The sequence below is a fragment of the Homo sapiens genome, chromosome 3 (assembly GCF_000001405.40).
Source record: "Homo sapiens chromosome 3, GRCh38.p14 Primary Assembly".
Taxonomy (NCBI): Eukaryota; Metazoa; Chordata; class Mammalia; order Primates; family Hominidae; genus Homo; species Homo sapiens.
The window spans coordinates 16,220,954-16,235,798 of NC_000003.12; the positions used below are offsets into that span (position 1 = coordinate 16,220,954).

The 14,845-nt window shown below is 42.1% G+C and overlaps 1 protein-coding gene across 4 annotated transcripts in view; it reads left to right on the forward strand.

The window, feature by feature from the left end:
* GALNT15 (polypeptide N-acetylgalactosaminyltransferase 15) overlaps positions 1-14,845 on the forward strand; it is a 73,545-nt gene that overhangs the window by 46,274 nt on the left and 12,426 nt on the right. For 2 of the 4 annotated variants that reach the window (NM_054110.5, NM_001319052.2), the window contains 2 exons: positions 1,662-1,805; positions 6,401-9,212. In NM_054110.5, the coding sequence (NP_473451.3) occupies positions 1,662-1,805; positions 6,401-6,547 (291 nt within the window). In that variant the 3' untranslated portion in view covers positions 6,548-9,212. Of the gene's footprint in view, positions 1-1,661; positions 1,806-6,400; positions 9,213-10,839; positions 11,040-14,845 lie in introns of those variants that run through there. The other 2 variants (NM_001319051.2, XM_005264852.6) reach the window with 2 other exon arrangements.

A 14,845-nucleotide genomic window follows, 5' to 3' on the forward strand; every position in this document is an offset into this window, starting at 1 on the left:
CCTGGCACAAGGGATGCAGACATAAACATCAAGTGCTAAGTGAAGAAGCCACATGGTAGGGTGAAAATTGTTCAAGCTTTGCAGTCAGACATAGCTCGGTTTGAATCTGAGCTCTCTCATTTTCTAGCTGTGTGATCTTGGCAGGCTTCTTTAAATCCTGGTTTCCTCTCCTGCAATTAAGAATAATGCAGCCTCTACAGAGATTATTCTGGGTTTGAAAAAGAAGAATAAAAAAAAAAATAAAGAAACAAAAGAACAATACAGCCTCCTTCATGCAAAAGGAATATTAGCTCTTTCTTGTTCTTTTTTTTTTTTTTTGAAATAGTAAGGACTTTAGGATCCTGCAATATTGTAAACTAGAAAAGTTGAAAGCCTTTCCCTATAAACACCTAGATAAGATATGCCAGATAAAAAAATATGAAACACCCTTTTTCATGAATAAACGAGTTTATAAGAAAGAAAGGGAAACCTCCAGGGGTCAAAAAACAAGAGGCAACTGAAAGTAGAGGAATTGGACATGGGCGAAGCTGCCCTACCAAGTGTGAGGGATGGTTACTATGAGCCCCGGGAATCTACAGCTGTTGGCTGCATGCAAGGGATAAGTGACGAGAGCCCACCTTCAGCCCATGAGAGATGAAAAGTCAGAAATGACACCCCCATAGCAAGCCAGCTTTGACCTTCAAAGGGTAACCTGTCCTTGAAAAGTTTGACTAGAAATACCCACCCCCTGCCACAGGAAAATGGTAAGAAGCTTGTCCCTACAGGGGCTTTGAGTAGGAAACAAATTATTCTTCCCTGAGAATTTTTAACCACAAGCTTGCATCTAATATGGGCTTAGGTTCACATGTGTACTAATTGTGTAGCTTGGGAATCCTCAAGCAGGACAGGTTATCTAATTGCAGGGCCCAGTGCAAGATGACAATGTAGTCTTTAATTTGACAATTATTAAGAATTTCAAGACAGTGACAGCAGAGCATTAAATCAAGTTTATTAAACCCATCTAAGCATGAGGCCCCATGTGACTGCACAGGTCACATACCCATGAAGTTGATCCTGTCTGTAAGCCACAAAATTAATGTAGAAATGGGTTCAGGCTGCATCTGACAGAAACAAACAGAAAATAGTCTTTCCAGGACATGACTTCTAATTAATCATCACAAGATCCTCACAGTTAAAGCCCCTCTCAAAGGTGTGCACAATCCAACACTACAAAACACTAGAGGAAACAATAACCATGAGTGAGAGCCAGCAGATACAACAAACGGCAGGAAAGTTAGTTTCAGGAGCAGGTTAGGGCTCTCCAGAAAGACATCAACCTGGGCTTCAGAGAGGTTCCTCATCTGTGCTTTCAACAGTATAGTAACAAAACACACAGCACTTTTTATGGCCTCACCTATGATACGGTAAATAACGTAACAGAGAAACATGCCAGAATGTATAAATATGAATGTAAGAGCAGGTGGAATGTGGGGACTTCAGAGGCTATGACTAGTCTAGCAGCATGTTTTTGGACTTGACCATGAGATATGGTCTTTCTGACCCCGATAGAATCTGAAGATTGCCCCTAGACCTCAGCTCTATAGTGGGTTCTTCTTACCTCCTCTACAGCTTTGAAGAGGATCTCTTTCTAGCTGCGCTAACAACTATTGCTTCTGTCACAGTACCTGCAGCACACCAGCAGGAAGGAGATTCACTTTGGCAGCCCACAGCACCTGTGCTTTGCTGTCAGGCAGGAGCAGGTGATTCTTCAGAACTGCACGGAGGAAGGCCTGGCCATCCACCAGCAGCACTGGGACTTCCAGGAGGTGAGTAATCTGTTCAGGAAGAGCCTGGTAGTGCTGCTGGTCAGAAGGAACTGCTGGTTGGCATTGGATCCTGGGCTCTTCCAAGAGGTCAGGTATTAGGGACCTCTGCCTCTGCTTTTGAACTTAGTGGCTGGGCAGTAAGGCCTCAGGGGGAGGAAAAGGCAACCCAGCAGCAAAGTTGGCCCACTGGCATCTTCATATGTAATGATTTGCCAGGTCTCTGTGTAGCTCTGATGCTTGTCATTGCAGAGAGAGGGATACACCTCTTTTTGAAGTTTATTGGCTCAGTTCACAAGTAGGATGGTGAGGCATGTTACAAGGAACGTTCAGCCACCTTGGTGGTGTGGTTTTAGGAGCAATTCAAAGTCCCTCCCCCCACCAAGAAACTTTAGATACAGATGTAGATGTAAATATATAGATATATAGATATCACTTTCTTCCTTTCAATGCAAATTGCACTGTAAGTATTTCATCATTTTAGTAAAATTTTGACCCCTATTACCCTGGGGGAAAGAAACTATAGATCCTTCCCAGAAGTTAGGGAGGGAATAGGAGGAATGTCCGTACTTAAGGAGAGTGGGCAGGTCCTATATACAGAATCGGGATCGGAAGATGACAGTATCAACACTGTGTCCATACACAGCTTTTTCTCTACTTCAAATTCTTCCTGAAATGAGTTGGGGTATTAACATACAAAGAAATAAATACACACCTTTTAAAAATTTCTTCAACTTCTGCTGGGGAATAAAAAGGATAAAATGACTAAGCAGAATCCTGTGCATTGGTACTCTTAAAGCAGGCTGTGAAAGAAGAAAATCGTATGATAGAAAACTTAAGCTAAGCTCACAATAAGCACTTGAGAACAGAGCATTTGGGGCTTTGGTGACCAACTGAAGGCAGGACTCAAGGGGCCCACACATGCTCAAAGAAGTCTTTTTTTTTTTTTTTTTTTGGGACAGTGTCTCACTCTGTTACCCAGGTTGGAGTGCAGTGGTGCGATCTTGGCTAACTGCAGCCTCTGCCTCCCAGGTTCAAGCGATTCTTGTGCCTCAGCCTGCTGAATAGCTAGGATTGCAGGTGTGAGCCACTGCGCCTGGCTACTTTTTGTATTTTTTAGTAGAGACAGGGTTTTGCCATGTTGGCCAAGTTGGTCTCAAACTCCTGACCTCGGGTGATCCACCCACTCGGCCTCACAAATTGCCGGGATTACAGTTGTCAGCCACCATGTCTGGCCTCAAAGAAGTCTTATGAGTCAAGTTAAGGTCCTTTATAAATGATCATAAAGTATTTTTCTAAGCAAGTCCTATGAATAAGATATACTTTAGAAACAGCATTTAAAAATAATAAGTAAAATAAGTAATAATGAGTAAAAGATTAGGGAGTAAGATACACCCAGCATATTTCAGGCATTAATAAATAACTTCTAAAAGTTATTATCATTCAGCCAGAAAAAGGAATGAGGTACTATTCATAGTGGCACTGTTGACAATAGCCAAGAAGTGAAAGCAACCCAGGTGTCCACCATGGATGAAGAGATAACAAAATGTGGCATACACATATTATTCAGCCTTAAAAAGGAAGAAAATCCCATCACCTGCTACAACATGGGCATATCTTGAGGACATTATGCTGGTGAAATAAACCCATCACAAAAGGACAAAAACTGTATGATTCCACTTTTATGAGATATCTAAAGTAGTCAAATTAATAGAAACAGAAAGTAAAATAGTGGTTACCAGAGGCAGGCAGAGGAGGAGAAAAAGGGAATTTGTTTATTAATGGTTATAGAGTTTCACTTTTACAAGATGAAAAAGTTCTGGATATCTGTTTCATAACAATGTGAATATATTTAACACTATTGTAGTAGGCTATTCTTTTTTTTTTTTTTTTTTTTAAAGAGGGAGTTTCGCTCTTGTTGCCCAGGCTAGAGTTCAATGGCAGGATCTCGGCTCACTGCAACCTCTGCCTCCCGGGTTCAAGCGATTCTCCTGCCTCAGCCTCTTTAGTGGCTGAGATTAGAGGTGCCTGCCACCATGCCCAGCTAATTTTGTATTTTTAGTAGAGACGGGGTTTCCTCCATGTTGGCCAGGCTGGTCTCGAACTCCTGACATCAGGTAATCTGCCTGCCTCGGCCTCCCAAAGTGCTGGGATTACAAGTGTGAGCCACCACACCAGGCCTATTAGGCCATTCTTGCATTGCTATAAAGAAATACTAGAGACTGGGTAATTTATAAGAAAAAAGGTGTAATTGGCTCATGGTTCTGCAGGCTGTATAGGAAGCATAGTGGCATCTGCTTCTGGGGAGGCCTCAGAGAGCTTTTACTTATGGCAGAAGATGAAGTGGGAGCAGGCATATCACATGGTGAAAGCAGGAACAAGAGAAAGAGAGTGGGGGAGGGGGTGCCACACACTCTTAAATGACCAGATCCTCAAGAACTCGCTATCAAGAAGACAGCACGAAGCCATGAGGGATCTGTCCCCATGATCCAAACATCCCCCACCAAACCCCACCTCCAGCACTGGGAATTACAATTCAACATGAGATTTAGGGAGGACCAACATCCAAACTATATCAACTACTAAACTTTACACTTAAAAATGCCTAAGATTGTAAAAGTTTTGCTATGTGTTTTTATCACAATTTTTTTAAAAAAGAGGCCAGGCTCAATGGCTCACGCCTGTAATCCCAGCACTTCGGGAGGCCGAGGCAGGTGGATCACGAGGTCAGGAGGCTGAGACCAGCCTGGCCAATATGGTGAAACCCCGTTTCTACTAAAAACACAAAAACTAGCCAGGTGTGGTGGTGCACACCTCTAGTCTCAGCTACTCAGGAGGTTGAGGCAGGAGAATCGCTTGAACCCAGGAGGCAGAGGTTGCACTGAGCTGAGATCGTGCCACTGTACTCCAGCCTGGGTGACAGAGAGAGACTGTCTCAAAATAAATAAATAAATAAAAGAAAAAGAAAAAAAGAAGAAAAAGATTTGTGGTACAACATGGATGTACCTTAAAAATATTACACACGGTGCCCAACACTTTGAGAGGCAGAGGTGGGTGGATCACTTGAGGTCAGGAGTTCGAGACCAGCCTGGCCAATATGGGTTTTTAGTAGAGAAAACCCATCTCTACTAAAAATACAAAAAATTAGCTGGGCATGGTGTCACATGCCTGTAATCCCAGCTACACGGGAGGCTGCAGTAGGAGAATCGCTTGAACCTGGGAGATGGAGGTTGCAATGAGCCGAGATCACACCACTGTACTCCCGCCTGGGTGACAGAGCAAGACTCCTTCTTGGAAAAAAAAAAAAAAATTACACAAAGTGAAAGAAGCCAGTTTCAAAAGGCCACATTTATATAGTTCCATTTATACAAAATGTCCAGAATAGGAAAATCCATAAATATAGAAAGTAGATTAATGATTAGTTTCTGGGAGGAGGGAGGAATGGGGAGTGACTGCTGATGGACAGTGGGTTTCTTTTTACGTAATGAAAATATTCTGGAAGTAGGTAGGAGTGAAGGTTGCACAACTTTGTGAATATACTAAAAACCACCAACTTGTGTACTTTAAAGGGGTAGTATTATGATCTCTATACTAGTCTGTTCTCACACTGCTATAAAGACATACCTGAGACTGGGTAGTTTATGAAAAAAAAAGAGGTTTAATTGACTCACAGTTCTGCAGGCTGCACAGGAAGCATGGCTGAGGAGGCCTCAGGAAACTTACAATCATGGCAGAAGGCGAAGAGGAAGCAAGCCCCGTCCTTACATGGCGGAGCAAGGGAGAGAGAGAGCGAAGGAGGAGGTGCTACACACTTCCAAACAACCAATCTTGTGAGAACTCTATCAAGAAAACAGCAAGGGGGAAGTCTGCCCCATGATTCAATCACCTCCCACCAGGCCCCTCTTCCAACACTGGGAATTACAATTCAACATGAGATTTCAGTGGGGACACAGAACCAAACCATATCAATCTCAAACATTAATAAATGAATGATGAATAAATAGGCATTTTCAGCATTGCTGGTTAAGGTTGTTCAACTTTTCATAAAGTAATTAAATTTTTCTTGAAAAGGAGAAGATTGGAGTCAATATTAAATCTGGTGGTTTTGAGCAGGGAATAGCCATGGTCTTCTGAACATGGCTGGTTTAGCCCTTCAGTATATCCTAGAGGTCTTGCTCACTACCACAGCCTGGTAACAACAGTGCCCAACTGCAGGATTAACAGAAGGTAAAGTGGATTAAATCGTTTTGAAAGCAGAAATTTACAACTACAGTGATAACAATGAATGTCACAAATACAGCATAAAGACTGAACATGCTCTGGGAATTATACTAACCATAACTTTCTAAGAAATGGTGCAATTACACAACTACAATAAAGATAATTGGATTAGTTACCCCTAAGGTTTTGAGTGACATCCAAATTTTAGGGCTACCTAATTTATATTTTATGTTGATCAAAATACCACAATTCCTTTCCAGGCCAGTTCACACCATCTGTTATTCTCTTAATGATTAGCACAAATCTTAAAAATATTTTCTTTTGCTGACTGATTGTGGGGGACTGGTTTTCTTTTCTTTTTTCCTTTCTCTTTTTAGAATGGGATGATTGTCCACATTCTTTCTGGGAAATGCATGGAAGCTGTGGTGCAAGAAAACAATAAAGATTTGTACCTGCGTCCGTGTGATGGAAAAGCCCGCCAGCAGTGGCGTTTTGACCAGATCAATGCTGTGGATGAACGATGAATGTCAATGTCAGAAGGAAAAGAGAATTTTGGCCATCAAAATCCAGCTCCAAGTGAACTTAAAGAGCTTATATATTTCATGAAGCTGATCCTTTTGTGTGTGTGCTCCTGGTGTTAGGAGAGAAAAAAGCTCTATGAAAGAATATAGGAAGTTTCTCCTTTTCACACCTTATTTCATTGACTGCTGGCTGCTTTAAAAAAAAAAAAAAAGGATCCATTGTACCGTTGTCTTCATCACTGGGAAATGATTATTACATAGTACAGAAGATTCTTTGTTTTTCTCCACTGAGCACTTAACAATTGCTTTCTCTCTGGCCTGGACATTCTCTGGCAGCACCTCCAGGATACATAAATTCAATGGATCAATTTATTTGTCTTCAAATGGCCTTAACTTGGATTGTCTGTTTGGCCAACCATGAAAATTAAAGAGTGAAGCAGATGTAATGGCCTGACATTCCAAAAACTCTGAATTGGGTTTATTAGCACAAATGTTGTGTTCATTTGTTGAGCCATATCTCAGAAGAAGGAAAGGGAGCTACAGAAAGGAGGTTTAGGATTGCAGAGAAGATGCAAGAGCACTTTGGCCCAATTCTCCAGCTCAACCCAGCAGCTGAAAAGCTTCAAGAGATCTAGGAAAAGACATTTTCATGTTAATGAGAATTTCCACCATTGTAGAGAATTTCCTTCCTACTGAGAATCTACCTCTATTCCCCCTGCCCTAGCTCTTCTCTAACTTGGTTAACCATAACCATAACCAGATTCCCTTGCAATCGATTTCTCTTTAGTCGTTGGTGTTAGAAGTACCAGCACAATTTGAGCATTCCCATTAACAAAGGTGTTCACAGTTGAGAAACTCTCCTGCCGGGCGCGGTGGCTCATGCCTGTAATTCCAGCACTTTGGGAGGCAGAGTTGGGAGGATCACCTGATGTCAGGGGTTTGAGACCAGCCTGGTCAACATTGCAAAACCTTGTCTCTACTAAAAATACAAAAATTAGCTGGGCATGGTGGCGCATACCTGTAATCCCAGCTACTTGGGAGGCTGAGGCAAGAGAATCGCTTGAACCCAGGAGGCAGAGGTTGCAGTGAGCTGAGATCATGCCATTGCACTCCAACCTGGGTGACAGAGTGAGACTCCATCTCAAAAAAAAAAAAAAAGAGAGAAACTCTCCTGATGCCCTGTTACAGGGTTTGCACTGACTGGAGCAGAAACAGCAACCTTTCTAAAAAAGCAAACCTTTTTCCTGGGAGGAAAATGCCAGAGCCTGAGCCAAAATTCTTATGACAGGTAACATTTGGGTGTTAATGTCCATGAGAGCTGACAGGGCCATCTCTGAGCCCATATAACTGTCTGGAACCCCCAAATGTGTCCACAGGTTGAATGTCCATGAGTGTGGGAAGAACACGGCTCATCTGGAGCACAGCTGAGGCTAGTAAGAGCTAAATGACTTTCCTTGCTATGACTTGGCTTACCTGAATTAGCTGTAAGAGTTGCCGAATGGGATGGGTTCTGCTATTTAATAAACAGCATTCATATTCATTTTTCCCCAGATGGAGTTACCTACCTTTCCACATGGTCAGCTTAGAAATCTTCCCCTAAAGATGCTAATCTCCTTTGGGCTGTCTCAGAACACAGTATCCTTCAAATAAGAAAAACTGAGTGGGAAGTGCAGTGTTTCCAAACAATACCTATCATAACTACGTATTCATTGTCTACCTGCTAAGTCAAGGGTTCACTGCATTTCTCCTTCCTCAGAATACACTCTGGACCTGTGCTGTCTAATATGGTAGCCACTAACAAAATGTGGCCATTTTGATGGAAATCCATTAAAATCAAAGAAAATTTAAAACTCAATTCCTCAATTGGGCTGGCCACATTTCAAATGCTCACTACCCACCTGTGGCTAGGGTCTACTTCTACTGTATTGGCGAGCATGGATATAGAACATTTCATCACAGTTCTGTTGGACCAATCTAGATAGATTCATTATCCCATCTAGAGAAGAGACTTTAGTCACTGTCTTCTTGCTTCAGACCCATCTATATTTAAAACAAATTTCCCTAAATCCTGAGACTGAGACGGAGCTACAAATTCTCAGATGGCGACCGTGTAAATGGTATTAGCGGCTGAAGAAAAAAAATTTTTCAAGACCTCTGTTTTTTAACTGAACTTTATCATTGGCATTGTGGGTCTTTGAAGTTGCTGGGATAAATTAATATAATTAAATAAAAGACTGAATTTAATTGCATAAATTGTATTAGGTGGCAATTAACAAAAGGACCCAGATGGCTTATTGCCTAATTGGGTGAACAAAGCAAGAATATGGTGTTTCTTGCTTCCTTAACCAGCTCCATGATTTATTACTTTATTGCAGAAGTGGCTGTCAACTCAGTCCCTGGCTGGTATTTACAGACCCTTAATTTAAGTAAAACAGATGCCTCCATTTAGTTCTAGAAGGACCTTCTCCTTTAGTGTAACCAAGTGTTCAAATTCCCTTCTTCTCTATGAACTCAGCATTCATTTTATCCATAATGATCAATTTAAAAGTAGAGAAACTTGTCAGTTGAGAGATCTGATTCCCAAGAGATTGGTTTCACTTGTCTACCTGAATTTTGTGATTGGATTTTGTTGTTCGTTTTTTAAGATTGAATTTTGTTACCACCCCCACCAAGTTCATCATCATTATTAACTATACCACTGGGGAGAACAGAGAGAAGTGTCCGGCCAGCAGTCTAGAGTCCCACACTCTTCATGCTGTATTACAACAGTAAGAGCAGATATCCTTCCTGGAGAGTGCCTGACCTGTTTCCTCTTTGGTTTTAATGCCATAGATCCCACTGGAAAATTCAGAATTCCAACTAACAAAGACATGGTGGTTGAAAAGTCCTCAGTGACAATAATGATGGCACCACTGCAGCAGAACTTGACATTTTAGAGGTCATGTTATTGTGCTTAATGTGAGGGGGTTCTATTCTCTACTGAAAGGCTATGAAAAAGCCAGTTGGACACCAAGTGATCTGTGACCAGTCACCAAATTTGGACAAACAAAATGCAAACAAGTTGCATTTTTAAAAAGCATTCAAAAAAAAAGAAAAGAAAAAAACAAGGATAGTGTACATAATATGTAGAGTTGTGCAAACATTGTGCAAAACATTGATACAGGCTGCCTTGCTGGGCACAACTCTACTTATTATGCACACTATTTATGTTGTTCTTTCGAAGTTCTTTTAAAAGTGCAAATTGTCTGTGATCACTTTTGGGCAAAGCCCAAAGCACCTACAAGTCCTGCCTCGATTATTCAAATACCTTGATTTGGGCATATTTCAAATGATATGTCAAGCACAATAACCAAGGAGGTGCTATTTCCAGAATTCTAGACCCCTCTACCATTCCTGTATTAATAATAGTCCCTCCATTGGATAAAGAAAATGTGGCACATATACACCATGGAATACTATGCAGCCATAAAAAAGAATGAGTTCATGTCCTTTGCAGGGACATGGATGAAGCTGGAAACCATCATTCTCAGCAAACTAACACAGGAACAGAAAACCAAACACCACATGTTCTCACTCATACATGGGAATTGGACAATGAGAACACATGGACATAGGGAGGGGAACATCACACCAGGGCCTGTTGAGGGGTGGGGGGTGGGGGGCAAGGGAAGGGAGAGCATCAGGACAAATACCTAATGCATGCAGGGCTTAAAACCTAGATGATGGGTTGACAGGTTGATAGGTGCAGCAAAGGACCATGGCACATGTATTCCTATGTAACAAACCTGCACGTTCTGCACATGTATTCTAGAACTTAAAGTAAAATAAATAATAATAGTCCCTCCAATCTCAAATCTTCTTTCCAGTTCCAACTCCTTCTTACATGAAATGTGCTCTTTGGACATGGCCATATGTCCTAAGCATTGTTTTAATATTATGAGGATCTTTGCTGGAGTAGTAGTTCTTTCCACGGGTATGGGATGTTTATATTTTTTCATCACTGAAGGCTCTACGTAATACCAATACACTAAGTTATCACGACATATAAACAGCTTGCCTGATGGTTTGGCTTAAAAAAAGAATCATCAGAATCACCATGATGACTTTACCCCTAGGGTGATAGTTTATAAGCTCAGTCCAAAGAGACCAGATTAATGTTTGAAAATTAAAGTTCCCTAACAATTCCCAAACTGTTCAGCTAGCTCATAGTCAATGGACATTCCAGTACCTATGACAAATGCTAAAATGATACAGTCCTTCCTCTCTCTCTCCCTCCCTCTCTCCTTCTCTCTCAGGATGAGAACAGGGCCAACTCTGCTGCTGCTGAAGCTTATCAAAGGCCTTTAACTTTTCAGCAGATTGTGAACAATGGGTAGGACATCATTTGCTTCATTCAGAGATCCTCAAGAAGGCACTGCCGATCACTCTCCTCTAGGCACAGATCAAGGGTGGCATTGTTTAATGTCTTATTTAAATAAAATCCAGAAAAACTGGAGCTGCTATCTTTAAAGTCATAACTTGCCCAGATGCACCAATGCAGAAACTGTTCAGAGAGGGTGAAAGGTGAGCACCTCATTAGATTATCCAAAATTCTCCAAAACTCTCCAAAATTCTCCAACCCAAACCATATGGCTATAGTGGGAGCTGCCTTGTTCCCACCATAAGATGGCCCCTCCTCCCAGCTGAACATCTGACCCATGTTGGGCCAATCAGCACATTCCTCAGTAATTTTGTTACTGAGACTAAGAAATCAGTCTCTCTACCAGTGACTTAAGAGATAATGTGAGGTTGGGCATGTTGGCTCACGCCTTTAATCCCAGCACTTTGGGAGGCCAAGACAGGAGGATCGCTTGAGCCCAGGAGTTTGAGATCAGGCTGAGCAACATAGTAAGACCCTATCTCTACAAAAAACAAAACCAAAACAAAAATTAGCCAGTCTCATAGCCTGGCCTCAAAATAAATAAATAAATAAATATATATATATATATATATATATATATATATATATATATATTTATTTAAAAGAGACATAATGTGAGAATGTTGAGCTCTCAGCAGCCTTGTTTTCTGTATATGGTCCTATGAGGTAGATAAATCCAGTCTGGAGAGTGAATCAGAGACAGCTGTGGGGGTGGAAACAAATATAAAAAGAGCAGAGGCAAAGGTGGGACAGAGCACCTTGATAGTATTTGATCCGCTGGCTCCAGTTTGTTCCCCAGGCCTTGATAGATCCCTGTCCCTGGAGTGTGTGAGACAACCGGAAATGATTTTGTTTAATTCAGTGCTCCTCAAATTTTCCTGTGCTCACAAATCACGTGGGGACCATGTTAAAGTGCAGATTCTGATTTGGTAGGTCTGTGTGGGGCGTGAGATTCTACATTCCTGCAAGCTCCTAGGCAATGCTGATGCTGCTGGCCAGAGACCACTGTCTGAGTAGCAACGATTCCAGTAGTTTTCTGGGTTTTTCCAAATTGTTACTTAGAGCTCAGAAAATCCTCACTGGATGAGTTCTTGGACTGTTTTTTGCTTCTAACGGATCTCTTTTTGAAGCCACATGGTAAGATGATTTGATCCTATGTCTTACAGGATAATGCATCTTTTTTTTTTTTTTTTTTTGAAACGGAGTCTGGCTGTGTCACCCAGGCTGGAGTGCAGTGGCACGATCTTGATTCACTGCAAACTCCACCTCCTGGGTTCAAGCGATTCTCTGCCTCAGCCTCCCAAGAAGCTGGGATCACAGGCGTGCATCACCACGCCTGGCTAATTTTTGTATTTTTAGTGGCGATGGGGTTTCACCATGTTGGCCAGTCTGGTCTTGAACTCCTGACCTCAGGTGATCCACCCACCTCAGCCTCCCAAAGTGTTAGGATTACAGGCGTGAGCCACCACGCCCAGCCAGGATAATGTATCCTGTTCAATGTAATAACAACCGTTGTTAATTCATTTTCTTCTTTTCCCTCAGCATTCTTCCTCTTTCCCATTCTGTCCACTAGTTCTGCTTTTTTGACCAGGGAAGTTTTTTAACCTTTTTTTGTTGTTCTTGCTATTTGTCTGTGGTCATGTCGTCCCTCCCTCACTTTCTTTATCTTTCCCCAACTTTCCTCTACTTCTCATCTTTGAGCAAACCTGCTTTTCCAGCACCAGGTTTTTGTGGTAATTTTTATTCCACTCTTACTTTTCCTCTATCTGGGCCTCCATGCCCTTCTGCCACCAGTTTCAACTGACTAATCTTGATGGAGTGAACAGCATCAATTTCTCCAAAGGATTTTTAGAACACTGAGCAAATAAATTAATAGCTCAGATTTTCAGCTCTTCTCAGTGGCAGCGCTTCTCCTGAGGGAATCCATAGTGTGGGGGTAAGGAAATGCCATTTAATATGGATTTGGAATAACAGGGATACTGAGAGTGCTGCCAATACTGATGGGAATATGGCCCTCATCTTGAGGAGGCAGCTGGGGTTCTGGCAGGCAGATTACCCTATACAGTGGATTTTCATAGAGGCAAGTATAGGGGACTCCCTGGAGATGGGCCAGGACTTGTAGCCTCTGAAAACAGCCACATCTAATAGCTAAACATGAAATTAGGTGATTGGAAAACAAATCCTGCCAAAGCCCAAGATTTGATTGTCTTAATCCTTAAGTCCTGCAGTAAAGTTAAAGCATGCATAACTAAGAAAGAGATACCAAATTTATCCTCTAACACCAGAGGCTATAGTAGTGACACTGAGTGTTCTGGCCCCACCCATATCCCTCTGGTCTTATAGCTTTAGCTTTCTCTGAAAAAAAGTTCCAACTGTCAGTTATCTGCATTTCTTCACCTGGGTTTCTTTTTTTTTTTCTTCCGCGAAAGCCAAAGAAGACTGCTTTATGATGTGGGGAAGGCCAGAAAAGCCTTGGAAGTCACATTCCCCAGAAGCAGTCCTCAATTGATGACTGACAGGAGTTGGTGTATAAATACCTCAGCTCCCTCACCTCTCCCATGGGATAGCTCTGAGGTGCATGTTCTACACCATTCCCCACAGTGTACCATGGGATTAAGCTCTAGTCACCCACAGTGGTAGCTGGCTTGATAATGCATCTTTAACTGGCTACATTCCCTTCTCCACTTCCTTACTAGTGTTTCCTGGGCTCATCTTCCAAGTAAACCACTTGCACACAAATCCTTATCTCTATGTCTCCTAATGGGGAAACCCACCCAAACACACATGGCTTGTCCCAACAAAAGCTTGCATCTCTAAGAGTTATCTTTCTTATCACAGTTTAAGCTTTGTTTCACCAGTAGTCTCAACCCATGCACAAGATAACCCCATTCCCCTGAGTTGAACTTATCCTACAAACTGCAAGGCCACAGTATGGGCTTCTAGGCAGCTGTGCCCAAAAGAAAAGAGTCTGGGGGAGGGGCAAGATAGTTGGTCCTTATCCCAATCTTTTTTTTTTTTTTTTTTTGTTGGAGTCTCACTCCGTTGCCCAGGCTGGAGTGCAGTGGTGCGATCCCAGCTCACTGCAAGCTCTGCCTCCTGGGTTCACACCATTATCCTGCCTCAGCCTCCCAAGTAGTTGGGACTACAGGCACCTGCCACCATGCCTGGCTAATTTTTTGGTATTTTTAGTAAAGACAGGGTTTCAACATTTTAGCCAGGATGGTCTCGATCTCCTGACCTCATGATCCACCTGCCTTGGCCTCCCAAAGTGCTGGGATTACAGGTGTGAGCCACCGTGCCTGGCCGGTCCTTACCCCAATCTTATTATAACATTAGACATCCTTCCTCCCTGGGGAAAAGTGAATATGGAGTGGAGAGAGGCCATGAGTGTTCCACTAATTGATGCCCCTTCTTGAAGAAACCTGAAGCCTGATGAAGCAAGGTTCCTCCGGCCTCACAAAAAATGTTCCCCCTCATATTTCAGTTATTTTCCTATAACTGATACATACCAGTGTTAGAGGATATAGAAGTATACCATAGAAGTTAGGAGTGAAGTGCATGATTGCTCTCCATGATAAAGCGAGGGAGATTCAGATATGAGTATTGAGGAAGCGATGGATTCAAACAATTTGATAAAGACATAAAGAGTGAGATGATCAAGAAGGTATCTCTAGTGAGGGCAGGAGTGACTTACCAGAGAAATTTTAGGATTAGGTGTCTAGTCCTCAATATAAAGTTATTTGCCTTATTTCCATCACCCCAGACTTTTAGTTAAGACTTCCATAATGACTTTCGTAGTATGTTGGGGATGGAAATCAAGGAACAGGGATAAGTCCCTGGACAGGACAAAGAGGAAAAGAGCAGCCTTGCCGGGTAGGATA